The sequence below is a fragment of the Homo sapiens genome, chromosome 14, assembly GCF_000001405.40.
Source record: "Homo sapiens chromosome 14, GRCh38.p14 Primary Assembly".
Lineage (NCBI taxonomy): Eukaryota > Metazoa > Chordata > Mammalia > Primates > Hominidae > Homo > Homo sapiens.
Window position 1 is genome coordinate 78,528,314 of NC_000014.9, and position 21,271 is coordinate 78,549,584.

A 21,271-nucleotide genomic window follows, 5' to 3' on the forward strand; every position below is an offset into this window, starting at 1 on the left:
TCCCTTCAGTGGAATTCCCATTTTGTGTAGTATTTTGGGGTGGAGGATTGAATTGCTTTACATCTCCACACTCCTGATTAAATGTGAACCCCCACCTGACGTTTCCAGGTCAGTAGCCAGGATGTGGGATGTAGTGCGGGATGGTTGTTTTATTTGATTTTCCCCACAACTGTGTGAGGGCAGGATATCATTGTCCCCATTTTACAGTTAAGAGTAGAGTCAGTAAATCACAGAGCCAAGCATGTATAATTTCTAACAGAAATTATGGGTTTAGTACCTAGATTGAGATTTTGATAGATTCAGGATAAAGGTAGTGAAAAAATTGCCCATGGAATTGGTTTGAACTGAATTCATGAGAATTATAGACTTCCATAGGCAGAAGGGATCACTTTTAGAGTCTTTTTTCAGAATGAGGTGAGTGAGGCAGAGTCGTGCAAGTACAGATTTGGGGTCCTATCTTTATTTAAATTTTTGATACTTTGTTTAGCATGGATATTTCCATTCATTTTTGTGTTTTAAATGTTGCATTAAAAATTCTGTATCTAGATTACCAATTCTTTTGGTACCCCCTTAAATTTTCTGCCTGATGCAAGTGAGGCACTTCCCTCACCCTATTCCCAGCCCTGTATAGCAGGCACAATGCTAGGTTGTTTACCAGTCATAGCCCCTTATTTTTCACATGAAGAAACTGGGGCCTAAGATCACAAAGCCAGCACCAATAACACATGGCTCTTGACTCACAGTATCGTTCTCTTCTTGCTAGTGGAGCTAAAATAATAGGAGAGACAAACGTCAGGAGATTGTAACCTCATAATAGAGCCTGACTAAATGTGCCAGGGAAAAAAGTGTAGCGTCCTTAAACTGTACAAGTCAGTTTAGCACCAAATCTTTCACTCACCCAGCAAGTAGAAATAGCTGCAAGTTGCAGCAGGTGGAATTTAGATTCGGTTCAAAGAAGAATTACTTGACAATGTGGGAAGTGAGGTGCTACATTGTTTCCTAGATAATGGCATAAAATAAGAGTGGGAAATTCAAATCCCCTGAGTTGGGTGTAAATGGTGGCAACTGTGACAAACTGGAGAGAGAGATCATAGTAGAAACTAAGTTCTATACTTAACTTGATTACTAGAGAAGCAATGTCTTTTCTTTCTTTCTGGGTCTCGGACACCCTTTTGATTTCAGGTCAAAATCATTTTCTTGAAGTAACGTGAACCCCAATATGGCATCATCCTCTTCTACCTATCCATAGAACCTCCTTGATTCTACTTCTTTGTTTTGTCTTTGCAGCTTTAGTCAACAGAGGCTGTTCCCACAGTTCCTCATCCTTCCCTCAGTTATCTATTTCTGTAGCTCTGGGTCCTGAATTACAGCATTTTCTAACCCTTTGATTTGGCTCTCTTCTGCTCTGAAAAGCATTGGCTCTTTCACAGTTACTGTACAGTATCCCCACTGTGGCATTTTCTGACTCCCATGCTGGGCCATCTCATCCCCCATCAACAAATCACCTTGCTACCACATGGCCTTTTGGTAACTGACTTTTATGTAGAATAACATACATGTAGAATGTGTGAGAGAACAATGCAGGCAGGAGCCTGGCTTTGCTCTGCACTGAATATTTAGCACTAGCATAGTTCTCTGCTGTACAAATAGGAAGTCAATAATACTTGTTGAATTAATAAATATTTATACAGTGCAATTTAATTAATTCCAAGTTTGGCATCTTCTAAAATTCACATAGGAATTTTCAATGTGGCCAAAAGCCCCACATTTCATAGCAAAATCATGACTTGGCTAATCAGAGAGATAAAAGAAAGAAAGAAAGAAAAAGCTCTGCCCTTTGCATGTGGCCTGATAAACAATTATGCCCTCCAGACACCAGGGCTGTGAATTCCGCCTTTTTAAACAGGCCCAGAGTCAGCTTATTTGGAGATTTTCAGCACCGTGGACAGAGGCACCAGGTTACTTTTTATCTGTCACTCCCTGAACAGCAGGATGAAGAACTACTCAGTTTGGGACAGGGCTCTCAGCCACTGTGGTGAAAATCACCCCCTTTAGCAGAAGGAAATTTACTTAGACCCTTTTTATTTCCCCTTTCCCTTGGAAAAATTGCATTTTCAGTTGTCAAGGCACTTAGGCTTCTACAAGTTATTTTTCAGGTGCCTGGAGGATGGAAAAGGGTTGCCCTGGAAATTGATATCTTCTTCTGAGTTTGGCTTAACAGGGGAACCACCAGTGCCCTTGCGGATGGCTGAGGTGTCTTTTATGCTAGGTATGGCTCTCTTCCAGATAACCAAGTGTAGACAGGAGTAGGCCCAGTTGTTCATGGAGCATTGGTTTTAGGACTTGACCTAAAAGCTGGGTCATACTATTGCCAGGGCAAGAATTACAAAAGCAGGTAAACTCTGCCAAGATTTTTCTAGTGGAACATACACATTCATGGGGATGAATCCTTCCCAAACTTTCAGGTTTTACTGTATTTGGCTGTAAAATTCAAAAGCCAGATTGACTAATTCTCAGTGCCTGTTAAATTCTTTTAGGAGCAAAGTGATACATTGTCCCCACCCCTGCCTTTCCTAAGAACTCATTTTTTCCCCTACTCATTAGCTGTATTCAAATGCAGAGCTTTGCTGATGAACAGCAAAGTGGCTTCTTGACTATTGGGTCTCTCACTTTGTCTTCTCCTGGACTCTGTAAGTAGCCCTACTTTCATTTATTTTCTAATCTTTGATGCCTTTCCTTCATTTTCTTGAAGCACCTTTACTTTTCATAGTCTGTCTCTTTCTTTTTGCCCCTTTTATGGCCATTACACACAAATCTGAGCTGGCCCTCTTCTCATGGCAATAGACATCCTGGGCTACTTTCATGAGGAAGCTTAGGACAGGAGCTGATGGAGATTAGCCAAAATGTCAGAGTTAGCCTACCCTTTGACCTGGGCCTGGAGGTGAGGTTTTCTTCTTACACTTACTTTGGAATGAGAAATGAGAGAGTGAAGTTTTCTTCCTACACTTACTTCATGTCAATCTTCTCAGTGTCTAATTGCTATGATCAGAAATTCAGAGTTATCCCAGGCTGGGTATTTGCATACCACAATGAGAATTGCTACAACTAATGTTGCTTGATGGAAGGGCAGGAGCTGAAATTTTACCTGAGCCACCAATTTTCTCAAAACCTTGGCCTGAGAGAGAATTCAAGTTTTACCCAGAAGTATCTACATTTTGTTTTTTACAAAAGGGCTCATGATAGAGCTCAGTTACCTTCTGCTATCCATCTGTGCCAATCTGAACTGAATCAGAGTATCATTTCCTTTTTTTTGCATGTGCTGGTGTCTCCTGTGTTGGCCTTTTAGAGTCTGACACGGTATTTGGGACCCTCCATGAGATTGGAAGGAGTTCCATTAAGTGATAGATAAAGATGTAGCCAGTAGAGGCCAAAGGTACTCAAATACTTTTTATTTAACCTTCTTACTTTTTGTCCTTAGGGAAACTGTAGACACTTTGAGACTGTTTATTTTATGCTTCTTTTCTAGGAGGTAAAGCTTTTGGGGGAAGGTTTTATGCTTTCAGAATTTTCAGTTAACATTTCTGCTTTGTGATGGTCTCCCAATCCCATCTCCTTCAATGACAGCTCCAAAATATCACCAGTTTTTTATTTTTCTTATTCAACCCTAAGTTTTATTGGAGAACCTTATTCCTGCTTCATGGAGAAAACTGGCTAGGCGTGGTGGCTCATGCCTGTAATCCCAGCACTTTGAGAGGCCGAGGTAGGTGGATCACCTGAGGTTGGAAGTTCAAGACTAGCCTGACCAACATGGAGAAACCCCATCTTTACTAAAAATACAAAAAAAAAAAAAAAATAGCCAAGTGCGCGCGTGGTGGCACATGCCTGTAATCCCAGCTACTCGGGAGGCTGAGGCAGGAGAATCACTTGAACCCAGGAGGCGGAAGTTCTGGTGAGCCAAGATCGCGCCATTGCACTCCAGCCTGGGCAATAAGAGCGAAACTCCATCTCAAAAGAAAAAAAAAAAGAAAAGAAAAGAAAAGAAAAAGAAAATTGATGATATTTTGTGTGTGTGTGTGTGTGTGTGTGTGTGTGTGTGTGTGTGTGTTTTAGTTCTCCAGCCCCCTTAGAAAGATTCTTTCTTCCACACCAATTCTCATTTCCTTTTCTTCAGGTTTAGAGATGACTTCTCTCATTCAAGACCAGTTCCTTCTCTCCTATCTTTCAGGAGATTTCTCTATAATTCATTCTCTCTCTCCACACTCACCCCACCCCACTACATGATCTTCAACCTCTCCCTCTCTCTTCTCTACTTGTCTTCATTCTGTCAGCTTAGAATCATCTTTCCTGTGTTCCCACCTAGCAAATATCCTTTCTTTGACGCCACATCTCTTTAGCTCCCATCTTTGTTTATCTTCGCTTTCTTCTTCTTTTTTTTTTCCTTCGTATCCAAATCATCATTCATTACACAACTCATTGAAATCTGAATTATCTTTCTTTTCATCCAATGAATCATGCCTAGGTCAATGATTTATTTTTCCACCAAACTTGCTATTCTTCGAGTATTTACCATTTCTGCATGTGACACCACTATCTATCTCAGCTAGCTGTCTCAGAAACGTCACATCTTCCACACCCATCAAGCTCTAATTACTTTCTTCCTCAACAGCTCTCAATTTCCTGTCCTCTCTATTTCTGCTACCACTGCCTATATTCTGAGCTTTGTTGTTTCTTACTATGCCACTACATCAGTCTCCCAACTGATATCTCTCTCTCTCTCCCTCCAGCCTTTTTTTTTTTTTTTTTTGAGATGGAGTCTTGCTCTGTCGCCCAGGGTGGAGTGCAGTGGTGCGATCTTGGCTCACTGCAACTTCTGCCTCCAGGTGATTCTCCTGCCTCAGCCTCCCAAGTAGCTGGGACTACAGCCACCACGCCCGGCTAATTTTTGTATTTTTAGTAGAGACAGGGTTTCGCCACATTGGTCAGGCTGGTCTCAAACTCCTGACCTCAGGTGATCCGCCCGCCTCAGCCTCCCAACCTCCAGCTCTCTTCTAGTTGTTTATCCTCCTGTATCACTAGTGTACACCCTCACTCATATTCACTGTGTAAAATGCAAAGCTGACCTGATTAAAATCTGTGTTACCTTCCTATTTCCTGTGGGGTAATAGTCCAATCTTCTGTATAAGGCTGTCCACGATCCATCTCCTGCCATTTTTCCTGCTTTTTGTTCCAACCATCATTTACCTTGCTGTTCACCCTCCACAACACCCACAGTTGCTAGTGGTTCCCTGTATTTGATACGCTGTTTCTCATGTTTGCGGTTTGTGGGAGCCTTCCCCTTTGCCAATATTGGCATTTGCCTATTTTCTTAGTTAACTCGTGGTCATCTGTTGAAAATCAGCTCGATATCATCTCTCCAGGAAGCCCTCCCCGCATTTCTGCACTCACTTTCTCCATCCGTTACCAAGGTTGAAGCACCTTCCTTTCTGTTGGTATAAAGTACCATGCATATGGCCACTATGGCCATTGCACTCATGGTACTGAGTTACCTGTTTTTGTATTTTTTTTCCTCAATGTGCCTCCATACTCAGTACATCATTTTTTTCTATAGTACTGGGCAAGGTTCTTGACACACATGAGCTGCTTAATTAAGTTTAATGTATTTATGACAAATTTAGAGCAGGTTTGAAGAAATTCAGGCTTTTCCCCATTAAGTAATGGTGCACCCCATTAAGTAATGGTGCACTTTGGGAGAAATGGGCTGAAAAAGTTTTAACGATAGCTTTTGCAGCCTATTTGCCCCAATTGTGTAAATACTAATTTAAAACCAAATGACTTCTAGAAAGTCTGTAGTCAGTCTTCACCATTGGGAGATAATGAGGCAACATGGATTTTGCTGCCTCTCTCTTAAATAACATGAATCTACTGTGGAGACTTTTAAGCCTATGATGATATTTTATATCAAAACTGAGATAAATAAAAAATGTTCACTGACAATAATGACTATAGATAAATGCTGTCAGTTGTAAGGAAGTGTCAATCACAGACAGACGTCAGTGGATCTGTGAGGGCCACACTGAATTTTTGCATGTGTAAACTGTATAAAATAAGATTTTAAAGAATGTCATAATCATATTCAGAAAGTGGAATGAGTGTGCATCTGAATGGCTGCCCAATCTATAACGAATATTCTATCTACAGGGCAATAAGCAGAAAAGGTGATGCAGAGCAGCCAGCCAGATACTATCATCCTCATTTCTTTAACATGTATTTCTAGATCCTTTTTTGCTCAGAACATTGTTATGGCATTCCTCAGAACGCTTTTAGTCTCTCTCTTTCTCTTTTATACTTAAAATTCTAAACCAGATTCTGGTGTAGAGTTCTGAGATTATCACTGTGCCACAGTGCCATTCAACATTCCTGGGATTACATTTTTCTTTACAAAAGGTAGCACTTTGGTATTCCCCTAGGACCCTCAGATTCTCCTTTTTTCTTTTCATTGCTGCTTACCAGAAACAGGTGCTCCTCAACCTGTATTTGTGCAGTATTTTTTGCAATAGGCAATTATATGTACTTTTAGTGATAATAGTTGTTTGTACATTAACAATAGTTTCACTTTTAAAATTGGTGTATTTTCCCCTTCCGCATATGTGTATGTACACAAAGGAATACAAACAAGGACAGACCTGATTGTTCCTTTGTTATAAGTAAAGACCATCTAATTATAATAAAGCACAATTAATAATTGTGTGTAATGAGCAAATTAGAGCAATAATACAAGAAAATGAGAGGCAATTCCTTGAAATGTTTCTGTCTTATCTTTTAATTGAAAAAAAAAAAAAAGCCTTCCATTTCCCTCAGGTAGAGTGAAACTGACAACTGAGCTGCCCTGCTTCTGCCAAATATGAAGATATCTAAGACTCTGCTTCTCTGTTTACTGGGCAAAGTCCTGGAGGGAGAGTGGGGAGGGGAAAGGAAGAAGTCTGTTGAACTTGGGGCTTAGTTTCACTCTGGATTATGTGGCAAATTGATTTTGATAACAGGCACCTCCCCATTCATACCTATGTTATTCTTAGGATTATGCAGTAAAATAGTTTAATAGTAAAAGGATAGAACTTTGGTGTTAGAAAGACCTAATTTCTGGTCCTGACTTTGCCACTTTACTAATTTGTGGTTTTAAGAAGCTACTTAAGTATTCCAAGATGTAGTTATAGGTCACATGGTTTTTGTGACACTTAATTGGATAGTGCTTACTTCAAGGCCTAGCATGTAGCCAGGGCTCCATCAATATTCTCTATGAGAGAAAGAGGAGGAGGAAAAGACTAAAAAGTCCGAAGGATGATATGATGTAGTTGAAAGAGGATGCACTTAGACACTTAAATCCTGTATTCGTTTCTTACTGTCTGTATTGTGTTGGGTAAAGCAACTTGAACTTTCAAACTCACCATTTTCCAAATCTATTAAAAAATGGATAATCATGCTTAATATAGAACAGTTCTGAGAATTAGGTAAGAAAATGTCTATGTAAGTGCCTAGTGCCACATCTTGCCATTAGTAAGAACCAAGAAATGCTATTTGTGGTGGGATGCCATTGATGTTGGGTAGAGCTTAGCTATGATTTATGATACTCCCAAGAGACTTTTTTTTTAATCGTGTGAAGCCATGTGTTCTATTCTGCTCAACGTTCTCATCAGACTCATGATTCCTAATTCTTAAAGCAAAAAATGGGGTCTGAGAGTGTTTCGTGGCATGACAGTTGTGGTCAGAACCCCTCCCATATTCCCTTATTCTCACCAAGTCAATGCAACTTCGATCAGGCATGCATTTTTCTGCCTGGGGGCTTGCTCTTTGCTAATGGATCTGCTTTGTATCCTGTGCTATAGACCAGAAGTGCAGAGAAATTAATGTCCTCTTTCCTCAGTGTTCATCAAACAATGGCTGGTGTTGTTTTCTACTGGCTCCTAGACCTTCCTCAGTGAGCTAAAATTCCATTTTCCCTAGATAGTAGCTGGCTCTTGCCCCGTCTGTAGGTCACATCCCCGCATCACGTTCCTAATAATCTACCTGCACTTCACTCTTGGTCTGAAGGTTTGCTTCTGAGGAAACCCAAACTAAGGCATGGGGCTACTCTAGTAAGCCAGCCCAGTGATGTTTATGGTGAATTATCATAAGTAGATCTCGATACCAGGATTTGTATTATATTGTACAGAACTGGTTATAATAGAACTAGCTCTAGCTGGTCTGAGGCTTAATATGTAGATTGAAATAAACATGCCTGAGACCTACAGATTATTTTTCTTTTTTTTTTTTATTATACTTTAAGTTCTAGGGTACATGTGCACAACGTGCAGATTTGATACATAGGTATACATGTGCCATGTTGGTTTGCTGCACCCATCAACTCATCATTTACATTAGGTATTTCTCTTAATGCTATCCCTCCCCCAGCCCCCCACCCATGACAGGCCCCAGTGTGTGATGTTCCCCGGCCTGTGTCCAAGTGAACTCAATGTTCCATTCTCACCTATGAGTGAGAACATGCAGTGTTTGGTTTTCTGTCCTTGTGACAGTTTGCTGAGAATGATGGTTTCCAGCTTCATCCATGTTCCTGCAAAGGACATGAACTCATCCTTTTTTATGGCTGCATAGTATTCCATGGTGTATATGTGCCACATTTTCTTAATCCAGTCTATCATTGATGGACATTTGGGTTGGTTCCAAGTCTTTGCTATTGTGAGTAGTACCACCATAAACATACATGTGCATATGTCTTTATAGTAGCATGATTTATAATCCTTTGGGTATATACCCAGTTATGGGATTGCTGGGTCCAATCATAATTCTAGTTCTAGATCCTTGAGGAATTGCCACACTGTCTTCCACAATGGTTGAACTAATTTACACTCCCACCAACAGTGTAAAAGCATTCCTATTTCTCCACATCCTCTCCAGCATCTTTTGTTTCCTGACTTTTTAATGATTGCCATTCTAACTGGTGTGAGATGCTATCTCATTGTGGTTTTGATTTGCATTTCTCTGATGACTGGTGATGATGAGCATTTTTACATGTGTCTATTAATTGGCTGCATAGATGTCTTCTTTTGAGAAGTGTCTGTTCATATCTTTGCCCACTTTTTGGTGGGGTTGTTTGATTTTTCTTGTGAATTTGTTTGAGTTCTTTGTAGATTCTGGATATTAACCCTTTGTCAGATGGGTAGGTTGCAAAAATTTTCTCCCATTCTGTAGGTTGCTTGTTCACTCTGATAGTAGTTTCTTTTGCCATGCAGAAACTGTTTGGTTTAATTAGATCCCATTTGCCTATTTTGGCTTTTGTTGCCATTGCTTTTTGTGTTTTAGTCATGAAGTCCTTGCCCATGCCTATGTACTGAATGGTATTGCCTAGATTTTCTTCTAGGGTTTTTATGGTTTTGGATCTAACATTTAAGTCTTTAATCCATCTTGAATTAATTTTTGTATAAGGTATAAGGAAGGGATCCAGTTTCAGCTTTCTACATATGGCTAGCCAGTTTTCCCAGCACCATTTATTAAATAGGGAATCCTTTCCCCATTTCTTGTTTTTGTCAGGTTTGTCAAAGATCAGATGGTTGTAGATGTGTAGTGTTATTTCTGAGGCCTCTGTTCTGTTTCATTGGTCTGTATATCTGTTTTGGTAACAGTACCATGCTGTTTTGGTTACTATAGCCTTGTACTATAGTTTGAAGTCAGGTAGCATGATGCTTCCAGCTTTGTTCTTTTTGCTTAGGATTGACTTGGCAATGCGGGCTCTTTTTTGGTTCCATATGAACTTTAAAGTAGTTTTTTTCCAATTCTGTGAAGAAAGGGTCATTGGTAGCTTAATGGGGATGGCATTGAATCTATAAATTACTTTGGGCAGTATGGCCATTTTCACGATATTGATTCTTCCTATCCATGAGCATGGAATGTACTTCCATTTGTTTGTATCCTCTTTTATTTCATTGAGCAGTGGTTTGTAGTTCTCCTTGAAGAGGTACTTCACATCCCTTGTAAGTTGGATTCCTAGGTACTTTATTCTCTTTGTAGCAATTGTGAATGGGAGTTCACTCATGATTTGGCTCTCAGTTTGTCTGTTAATGGTGTATAGGAATGCTTGTGATTTTTGCACATTGATTTTGTATCCTGAGACTTTGCTGAAGTTGCTTATCAGCTTAAGGAGATTTTGGGCTGAGACGATGGGGTTTTCTAAATATGCAATCATGTCATCTGCAAATGGAGACAATTTGACTTCCTCATTGTGTAATTGAATACAGTTTATTTCTTTCTCCTGCCTGATTGCCCTGGCCAGAACTTCCAACACTATGTTGAATGGGAGTGGTGAGAGAGGGCATCCCTGTCTTGTGCCAGTTTTCAAAGGGAATGCTTCCAGTTTTTGCCCATTCAGTATGATATTGGCTGTGGGTTTGTCATAAATAGCTCTTATTATTTTGAGATAAGTTCCATCAATACCTAGTTTATTGAGAGTTTTTAGCATGAAAGGCTGTTGAATTTTGTGGAAGGCCTTTTCTGCATCTATTGAGATAATCATGTGGTTTTTATTGTTGGTGCTGTTTATGTGATGGATTACGTTTATTGATTTGTGTATCTTGAACCAGTCTTGCATCCCAGGGATGAAGCTGACTTGATCATGGTGGATAAGCTTTTTGATGTGCTGCTGGATTCAGTTCGAAAGTATTTTATTGAGGATTTTTGCATTGATGTTCATCAGGGATATTGGTCTGAAATTCTGTTTTTTTGTTGTGTCTCTGCCAGGCTTTGGTATCACGATTATGTTGGCCTCATAAAATGAGTTAGGGAGGGTTCCCTCTTTTTCTATTGATTGGAATAGTTTTAGAAGGAATGCTAGCAGCTCCTCTTTGTACCTCTGGTAGAATTTGGCAGTGAATCCATCTGGTCCTGGACTTTTTTTGGTTGGTAGGTTATTAATTATTGCCTCAATTTCAGAGCCTGTTATTGGTCTATTCAGAGATTCACCTTCTTCCTGGTTTAGTCTTGGGAGGGTATATGTGTCCAGGAATTTATCCATTTCTTCTAGATTTTCTAGTTCATTTGCATAGAGGTGTTTATAGTATTCTCTGATGGTAGTTTGTATTTCTGTGGGATCAATGGTGATATCCCCTTTTTTTTATTGCATCTATTTGATTCTTCTCTCTTTTCTTCTTTATTAGTCTTGCTAGTGATCTATCAATTTTGTTGATCTTTTCAAAAAACCAGCCCCTGGATTCATTAATTTTTTGAAGGGTTTTTTGTGTCTCTTTCTCTTTCAGTTCTTCCCTGATCTTACTTATCTCTTGCCTTCTGCTAACTTTTGAATTTGTTTGCTCTTGTTTCTGTCGTTCTTTTAATTGTAATGTTAGGGTGTCGATTATAGATCCTTCCTGCTTTCTCTTGTGGGCATTTAGTGTAAATTTCCCTGTACACACTGTTTTAAATGTGTCCCAGAGATTCTGGTATGTTGTGTCTTTGTTATCATTGGTTTCAAAGAACATCTTTATTTCTGCCTTCATTTTGTTATTTACCCAGTAGTCATTCAGGAGCAAGTTGTTCAGTTTCCATGTAGTTGAGTGGTTTTGAGTGAGTTTCTTAATCCTGAGTTCTAATTTGATTGCACTGTGGTCTCAGAGACAGTTTGTTGTGATTTCTGTTCTTTTACATTTGCTGAGGAGTGCTTTACTCCCAATTATGTGGTCAATTTTGGAATAAGCGCGATGTGGTGCTGAGAAGAATGTATATTCTGTTGATGTGGGGTGGAGAGTTCTGTAGATGTCTATTAGTTCTGCTTGTTGCAGAGCTGAGTTCAAGTCCTGGATATCCTTGTTAATCTTCTGTCTTATTGATTTGTCTAATATTGGCAGTGGGGTTTTAAAGTCTCCCATTATTATTGTGTGGGAGTCTAAGTCTCTTTGTAGGTCTCGAAGGACTTGCCTTATGAATCTGGGTGCTCCTGCATTGGGTGCATATATATTTAGGATAGTTAGCTCTTCTTGTTGAATTGATCCCTTTACCATTATATAATGGCCTTCTTTTTCTCTTTTGATCTTTGTTGGTTTAAAGTCTGTTTTATCAGAGACTAGGATTGCAACCCCTGCTTTTTTTTTTTTTTTTTGCTTTCCATTTGCTTGGTAGATCTTCCTCCATTCCTCTATTTTGAGCCTATATGCATCTTTGCACATGAGATGGGTCTCCTGAATACAGCACACTGATGGATCTTGACTCTTTATCCAATTTGCCAGTCTGTGTCTTTTAATTGGGGGCATTTAGCCCATTTACATTTAAGGGTAATATTGTTATGTGTGAATTTGATTCTGTCATTATGATATTCACTGGTTATTTTGCCCATTAATTGATGCAGTTTCTTCATACCATCAATGGTCTTTACAATTTGGCATGTTTTTGCAGTGGCTGGTACCAGTTGTCTCTTTCCATGTTTAGTGCTTCCTTCAGGAGCTCTTGTAAGACAGGTCTGGTGGTGACAAAATCTCTCAGTGTTTGGTTGTCTGTAAAGGATTTTATTTCTCCTTCACTTATGAAGCTTAGTTTGGCTGGATATGAAATTCTGGGTTGAAAATTCTTTTATTTTAGAATGTTGAATATTGGCCTCCACTCTCTTCTGGCTTGTAATGTTTCTGCTGAGAGATCTGCTGTTACTCTCATGGGCTTCCCTTTGTGGGTAACTCGGCTTTTCTCTCTGGCTACCCTTAACACTTTTCCCTTCATTTCAACCTTGGTGAATCTGACAATTATGTGTCTGGGGTTGCTCTTCTTGAGGAGTATCTTTGTGATGTTGTCTATATTTCCTGAATTTGAATGTTGGCCTGCCTTGCTAGGTTGGGGAAGTTCTGGATAATATCCTGAAGAGTGTTTTCCAACATGGTTCCATTCTCCCCATCACTTTCAGGGAAACCAATCAGACGTAGATTTGGTCTTTTCACATACTCCCATATTTCTTTGAGGCTTTGTTCATTTCTTTTTACTCTTTTTTCCCTAACCTTGTCTTCTTGCTTTATTTCATTAATTTGATCTTCAATCACTGATACCCTTTCTTCCACTTGATTGAATCAGCTATTGAAACTTGTGTATGCATCATGAAGTTCTCGTGCCATGATTTTCAGCTCCATCAGGTCATTTAAGGTCTTCTCTCACTGTTTGTTCTAGTTAGCCATTCATGTAATATTTTTTCAAGGTTCTTAGCTTCCTTGCGATGGGTTCTAACATCCTCCTTTAGCTTGGAGACGTTTGTTATTACCGACCTTCTGAAGCCTACTTCTGTCAACTCGTCAAAGTCATTCTCCATCCAGCTTTGTTCCGTTGTTGGTGAGGAGCTGTGATCCTTTGGAGGAGAAGAGGCACTCTGATTTTTAGAATTTTCAGCTTTCCTGCTCTGGTTTCTCCCCACCTTTGTGCTTTCATCCCACCTTTGGTCTTTGATGTTGGTGACCTACAGATGGGGTTTTGGTGTAGATGACCTTTCTGTTGATGTTGATGCTATTCTTTTCTGTTTGTTAGTTTTCCTTCTAACAGTCTGGTCCCTCAGCTGCAGGTCTATTGGAGTTTGCTGGAGGTCCACTCAAGACCATGTTTGCCTGGGTATCACCAGCAGAGGCTGCAGAACAGCAAATATTGCAGAACAGCAAATATTGCAGAACAGCAAATACTGCAGGAAAGCAAATATTGCTGCCTGATTCTTCCTCTGGAAGCTTCGTTCCAGAGGGGCAGCTGCCTATATGAGGTGTCTGTCATCCCCTACTGGGAGGTGTCTCCCAGTTAGGCTACACGGGGGTCAGGGACCAACTTGAGGAGGCAGTCTGTCCATTCTCAGAGCCCAAACACTGTGCTGAGAGAACCACTGCTCTCTTCAGAGCTGTCAGACAGGGACGTTTAAGTCTGCACAAGTTGTCTGCTGCCTTTTCTTCAGCTGTGCCCTGCCCATAGCTGATGTGGAGTGTAGAGGTGGAGTCTAGAGGCAGTAGGCCTTCTTGAGCTGTGGTGGGCTCTGCCCAGTTTGAGCTTCCAGGCCACTTTGTTTACCTACTCAAGCCTCAGCAATGGCAGATGCCCCTCCCCCAGCCAGGCTGCCACCTTGCAGTTCAATCTCAGACTGTTGCGCTAGCAGTGAGCAAGGCTCTGTGGGTGTGTGACCCATCGAGCCAGGCACAGGAGAGAATCTCCTTGTCTGCCAGTTGCTAAGACCTTGGGAAAAGTGCAGTATTTGGGCGGGAGTGTCCCGTTTTTTCCAGGTAGTCTGTCATGGCTTCCCTTGGCTAGGAAAGGGAAATCCCCTGACCCCTTGCACTTCCTGGGTGAGGCGATGCCCCACCCTACTTCAGCTTGCCCTCCATGGGCTACACCCACTGTCTAACCAGTCCCAGTAAGATGAACCAGGTACCTCAGTTGGAAATGCAGAAATCACCCATCTTCTGCATCGATCACACTGGGAGCTGCAGACTGGAGCTGTTACTATTTGGCCATCTTGGAATACCCACTCCAGATTTCTTTTCTTAAAATAATACCTTTCTAAATACCTGTTGGAGTGCTTGAGTTGGTAGGGGCTATGGGAATGTCATCTGACTGATTTTGTCAGAGGACTTTGTGGATTTGAGACAGGGTGGGTAGGAGAGGATCATCACATTGATTCCAGAACTAAACTTAGGGCTTGAGGTCACTTTAGGTGGGGTAGAAGTGGGGATATCTGGCATACTATGAGATTTAGAGGGCCACTGTAGCCTCATAGGTACTCAGACTTTATAGTGTTGGTTTAATTAGGGATTTTCTTAAGCTGGCTGCCCTGATTCAAGGTGATGGTTATCTGAGCACCAGGTAAGGCCTGGGAAGGGTAGAGGCAATATGGCTAGATGTCCATTTCCTATAATCTCTAAATTTGTATGAATTGATGCATTCATGATCTGAGATCATAAATGAAGTCCATAAAGTCCATAAACCTCCTGATATTTTATGTAAAACTTAATGCATATGTACACTTTTCTAGAGAGGAAGTCTTGAGCTTTTGGATTTTAACAGGTGTCCTCAACATATTGAAAACTGCTTCAGCTTGATGTCCAATTTCAGTGCTAACAATTGTTGCAGAAGTGTTTTTGAGCACTAATCATATCAATTGCAATAATGGTGCTCCTTGGGGTCTCAGGTGAGCTGAGACTTGGAGCCTTGGGATCCAGAACTCACCCTTAAATAAGCATAGCATCTCTCTTGGTGGGGGTCTGTGGAGGTACAGGGAGGTTGGAGAGAGTTGGCATTACCCAATTTAGTGAGGTTAAGATAAACACTGCAGAGTAATCCATGGCTGACCTCAGTGATGAGTTATCCATTTTGCAATCTGGCCTTTTATTACATTGCTGTTGACTTTGTTGTTGTTGTTATTGTTACATGTTTGTTTTTCTTTGGATATCAATGCTTTTATGGGAATTATTTCTCATTTCGTTAATCCTAGCCTAGTTTCCTTCAAAAGGGTCTTGAGTGCAGGTAGCCTCTTCAGGGTAGAGTAAAACAACAAAAAAGTCAAAGCCGGAATCAAGGGTGTGTTTTCTATCATACAGAATATTATGATGGACCACTGAGGCTCAGTGCCACTAGGGACTCTCTTGGGAGGTGCATAGAATGAATATTAAAACTCTCTGCCTGAAAGATGGAATAAGGCAGAATGTATTTACTGTTCCCATTTCCCCTTGGCCAAGGATTACTTCATGGGGCATTAACTGTCTTACATTTCCAGGTTTACTCAGATGCCCTGCAGGTTCCCACAGGCTTCCTGCATGCTGATAGCAGAGGAGCCCTGGGGCACACCATGAGAGATACATGATACAGCTCAGGCAAATGCTATCAAGTTATACCAAAGGCACCTCTTTGCAGCAGCTGGCATGCAAAAGTGAACAGAGAGGATATGAGGGCACAAGAGGTGTCTCATACACCTTCTCCATTCTAGCATCTCTCCTCACTGAGACCATGGTAATCTTAACTTGTAGGCATGCAGTGTTAATAAATGAAGCCAAAGTGCTGGATTTGATCCCTATGTAGGTCACTTAGCTGCCCACAGTGAAAAGTAGCACCATGGACATCAAAGTGAACAAACCCCTGCCTGAGTACTTATTTCCATGGATCAAAAGGATGGGGAAATGCTGATGGAGAGTTGAACTTTATAATCGGGAAAAGTCCATTCAAATGGGCTATTTTATTCAATTCCCAAATAGCCCTAGACTTTATATAACTTACATGGTGGAATTCATGCTTTTACTAACAAGTAAGTTAAGGCTCATAGAGGCTGCGTGACTTGACCAGGGTCCCATAGTTAATAGACTGAAATGTATTCCTTCTTACTTCAAACTTGTTCACATCATCCAGCTCTCTGGCAACACATTACTGGAAAAGAAAAATAGTTCAGAGAAGGATGTGCTCATGAGGACTGCATAGAGTTGCAATCTTCTTGGGAGGGTACACATGCATGACCTGCCAAATCTGAAATATTAGGAACTTTTGCTTGCAACTTGTTCCATCTACAGCATGGGTAGAGGTGGCAACAGAGAGGTGACTGGGGAGAGGTTTGCCCAAGAGACAGCAGGGAGATTCTGGGAATAAACAGGAGTTGGGTTCTCAATTTGGCAACTAAGCATTCTTTTGTTATTGCACTTTCTCAGGCTGCAGCAGAGCCTGATTAGCTTTAAAATTCATTTCCATTGGTTTCTTCTTTCATGATAGTTTTAGATGTTGTTTTATTGGCATTCCTATAGATGTAATTTAACCTTGGTAGTACTGATGAACTGGTTGTTCTCTTGTAAATTTTAGAAGGAAGGTGGACAGTCTGGGAGAACCAGAACTGACAGGAGCAATAGGGTGCATTGCTAACTGGCACCCTGTGCTCTGAGGTCAAAAGGAAACATAGGAAGGTGGTTTCTGAGGGCAAGACCTAGGCTCCTCTCTCAATTCTCTTTTGATTTCAAATTTTGTTTCTTAATTTACTTTAAACACACACACAAACAACTTTACATAAATGTGTACATATGATTTCAGTACATTTTCCTAAGTGTATTCTTTTCTTTCCATTTTTGTTTGATGTCTCCCCTCTTCTCCTTTTTGTCCATGTTGGTCCCCTAACTCTACTCCAAGATAGTTCATATTAATAACCTAGTATAAATCCTGGCACATTTTTCTCTATACACATATAATTTATACATATAGAAATGTATACAAGTTTTTCAGGTCATTGTTTTATAAAATGGGATATTATATACTTATTTTGCATCTTGATTTTCTTTTTAGAAGAACACTATTGTGCATCATAGAATAAATACAAAAAAGTTTAAAACATATTTAGGTACTTTAAATAATAATGAAGCAAACATTTGTAGTATGTCTATCTACCCACTGCATTAAAGAAATAGGGAATTACCAGTGCCTTAGAACCTGCTGTGTGCCACTTTGCAATCTCTTTTTCCTCTTTCCCTCAGGAACTCTACTTTCTGGAATCAGTCCTGTGTTTCTCTTTCTATATTTTGCTTCTGTTGCTCAACATTACTTTATAAAAATTTTTTCATATCAAAAGGCAGTGCTCTAATTCACTCTTTTTAATGGGTGCATAATATTCCAGTCTGATGATATGTTATATATGTGGTATTCTCCTTCCTGTAAATTATAATTTTATTTCCATCTTACTTTTTTCTACCATGCACAATGTTGCAATAAATATCATTGTGTATTTGCACTGGTGCTTTTATATCTGGTGCAGTCCAGGAATGGGGTTGATAAATAGAAGAGGATATGTATTTTAAATATGAACAAATACTGTCATATGGCTTTTCAAAACATTGTAACACTTCACATACTCAAGCAATGTATGAGCACACCCTTTTCACACATCCCTGATAGTGATACGAATTATTGCTTTTTTAAATTGTGCCAGCTGAGAAGTGTAAAGTGATATTTCATTGTTATTTTAATTTGCATTTCTCGGACTGTTAGTGAATCTGAGCATTTTTGCATTTGTTTGTAGGCCATTTAGCTGAGCACTTCTGTAAATGGGCTATTCATGACTTCTTGTTTCTACAATGGAGATATTTGTCTTTTTCTTGTCTTTCCATAGTAATATTTGTTTACCTTGTTTAGGGTATATTTTGCCATCAAATATGTTACTTTTTAATGTAGTTAGATGTCTGTTTTTAACTTTCACATCTTCTAATTTCCAGTCTTCGTAGAGAATGTTTTCCCCGTCCCCACCTTTAAAAAGTGTGTTTAGTTTTTAAGATTCTTTTTAAATCTTTGTTTTCATTTTTTATATTTAAATCTTAATCCATTTAGAAATTTATTTTTGTGTTTATAGATGCTAGAGGTCCATGTTTACTTTGTTCCTGATGATAATGATAATAACAATAGCTAACACTTACTGCTGCTATGTGGTAAGCATTGTTATATAGGCACTTTCCACATATTGCATCGCTGACTTGGCCTTGTCCCTCACAACTCTGAGACATAGGTTTTCTTACCATATCCATTTTACACTTGAGGAAAATGAGGCACAAAAAAATTGAGTAATTAGCCCAAAGGTCACAGAGGAGGTCAAGTGGTGAATGTGGGATTTGAACTCTGGGAATCTGGCACTGAAATCCACTCTTATTATAGTTCCTCTTATTTGTTAGGCCAGGACTATTTATGAAAAAAGCCACTCTTTTCCCACTGAATTACATTACTTTTCTTGTCATTTATTAAATTCTCACATATACCAGAGTTTATTTCTCGATTGTCTGTCTGCTCCCTGATCTTTTCATCTATTCCTAGCATTTTTTGTTGAGTTGATGATCATGGTCGTATAATGTCTGATATCTATGAAGTCCAGTCTTCTGTCATTGCTCTTTTTTTTTCATTTATTTTTTTTTGAGACGGAGTCTCTCTCTGTCGCCCAGCCTGGATGCAGTGGCGAGATCTCAGCTCACTGCAAGCTCCCCGTCCTGGGTTCATGCCATTCTCCTGCCTCAGCCTCCCAAGCAGCTGGGATTACAGGCGCCCGCTACCACATTTTTTTTGTATTTTTAGTAGAGATGGGTTTTTACCATTTTAGCCAGGATGGTCTCTATCTCCTGACCTCGTGATCCACCCTCCTCGGCCTCCCAATTTCCAGGCATTCATACTTTTATGTATAATTTATGTTTATTTTATTCAATTAAAGTAGCCGATGGGATCCTAATTGAAGTTGTATTAAATCAATATGTTAATTTTGGGACAATTGCCATGTTCATACTAATTACTCCATAAATTTAAAATATAGTATGTTTCCTCTTCATTCAGAAATTAATTTATATCTTTTATATATTTATATTTTCTTTGTGTTGTCTTTTAAATTTTTGGGGGAGATGTATTTATAAATATTTTAAAGCTTTTGCTGATATAAATAGAAATATTTTTCTCATTTCTATTCCTTAGTGATTGTTACTAGAGTTGAGAAAAGGTACTGATTTTGTATATTTTATATATAAATCAGTAGGAAGAGCACTGTCAATCTAATATTTTTAATTAATTAAACAAGAAAAATACATTCATGTCATTAAGGGCTGAAACAGCTTTTGATAAACTTCAGCAGGCATTATTAATACAGTTCAGGTAAAATTGAAATAAAAGATGATTGCTTAGATATATAAAGATTATTTACTAAAAACAGCAACAGATTTAACAAACATGGAGATCATTTTAGTTAAAATTAGAATGCATTTAGGGATGTCCCTTGTTATCTATATTAAACATTGCATTTGCTATAGCCTCCAAGGCCATAAAACAGAAAAGTAAAATAGTTGGTGTAAATATCAGAAGAGGTAAAACTATCTCTTTTTGCTGATACTATAATTCCTTATCAAGAAATTTAAACAACTCTAGTTAAAAACTTACAGAATGAATAAGATACTTTGATAAGCTATCTGGATATAAGTATATAATATCAATCACTTCTTTATTCTATCAATAATTAACCATTTTTAGTTCTCAAGGTTCAAATTTCAGAGAAGGTGGCTTTGAGCTATAGGTTGGATCATTTCCCATGACTTGGACAGGGAGATAAAAGCTTCTTAGGACGGCCCCACTAGACTCTACCAAGTGGAACAAAGGTGATTGCTCAAATTTGAGCTGAAAGGGGAAATGGATGATAGACAGAAGTTTTTTAAAAAATAAACTCCACATACTGTATGTAACTGCACTTCAGAAGTCAGGTGCCTAGCTTTTAAGAGGATAAATCTAAATTCTTTGCCTGCTTCTTCTAGAATCCTTCCCAAACCCTTTTCCGTTGCCCCCTCCCTTTTTACCTGTTCTACACTGCATCCCAACTGGTTGTTACATTGTCCCCTGCACACGTTTTGCACATTCCTCTGTTGTTTGCCCATCCATTCCCCTCACTAGACGTATTCTATTCCTTTTTCTTTCATGTAATTCTGATTCGCCCTGTAGGGCTCTCTGCACGTTCCCATCAAATGCTTGTTCCATTACCCAAGACCAGGTCCCTTCTCCCAAACCACAGGGGCTCTAGGAGCCCACTCTACCAAAGACCTGAAGAACCTCCAGCTGTCACAGTCTCTTCACTCCTAGGACTGAAGGACCTGTTCTCTTCTCCGCATCTGTTCCTGCATCCCTGTGACATCTGCCCCAACGAAATCAGAAGAGGAGAAGGGACCAGGACTCTCACTTCCCAGACTATACATTGTTCAGCTTCCTCTTTCCCCCTTTCTGACATGGAAATAGCGAGCGAAGATTTGAGGGCCAGTTTTTTCATGTTGTTGTTTTGGGATGTTTTTTGGTGTGCTGTCATAGATTTTATTTTTTCATTTAGAGAAGCCAGGTCCAACCTAAACAGTTTCATACTCTTACCAAGAGGATGCTTTGTCCTTCACTGTTTCAAGTTTGTACAGGATTCAGGACCATGTTTTGCACCTAGTAAATGAGTCTTCGTTTATCCAAACTATTTTGAGTTCTCACCTTTATGCCTTTGCTGTTGCTATGTCATTTCTCCTGAAGGCCCTTCTCCTTCTCTTTGTTCACTTGATTACTCTTAGTTTTTACATTTCAGCTCAGGTGTCAACTGCTCCAAGAAGCCTTTCTCGAGCTCATGCTCCCCTTCACCAAACTGCCACAACAACCTGTGTGAATCTTGATCACCAAGCTTACAGTGCTGTTTGAGATAATTATCTGCTCAAGTTTCTGGTGTTCCCATTAGACTGTCAGTGCCTCATCGATGTGCTCAGCCTCTAGCTGTGAA

General features: G+C 39.7%; 1 protein-coding gene across 52 annotated transcripts in view, besides 1 other annotated feature; it reads left to right on the forward strand.

The window, feature by feature from the left end:
* NRXN3 (neurexin 3) overlaps positions 1–21,271 on the forward strand; it is a 1,697,919-nt gene that overhangs the window by 357,941 nt on the left and 1,318,707 nt on the right. The gene's annotated exons all lie outside the window — the stretch shown is intronic.
* Positions 1,820–2,020: a silencer, noted in NCBI's record as "peak2214 fragment used in MPRA reporter construct". NCBI's record gives its function as "represses an SCP1 promoter by STARR-seq MPRAs in K562 erythroleukemia cells {active_cell/tissue: K562}" and the evidence as "EXISTENCE:reporter gene assay evidence [ECO:0000049][PMID:32103011]".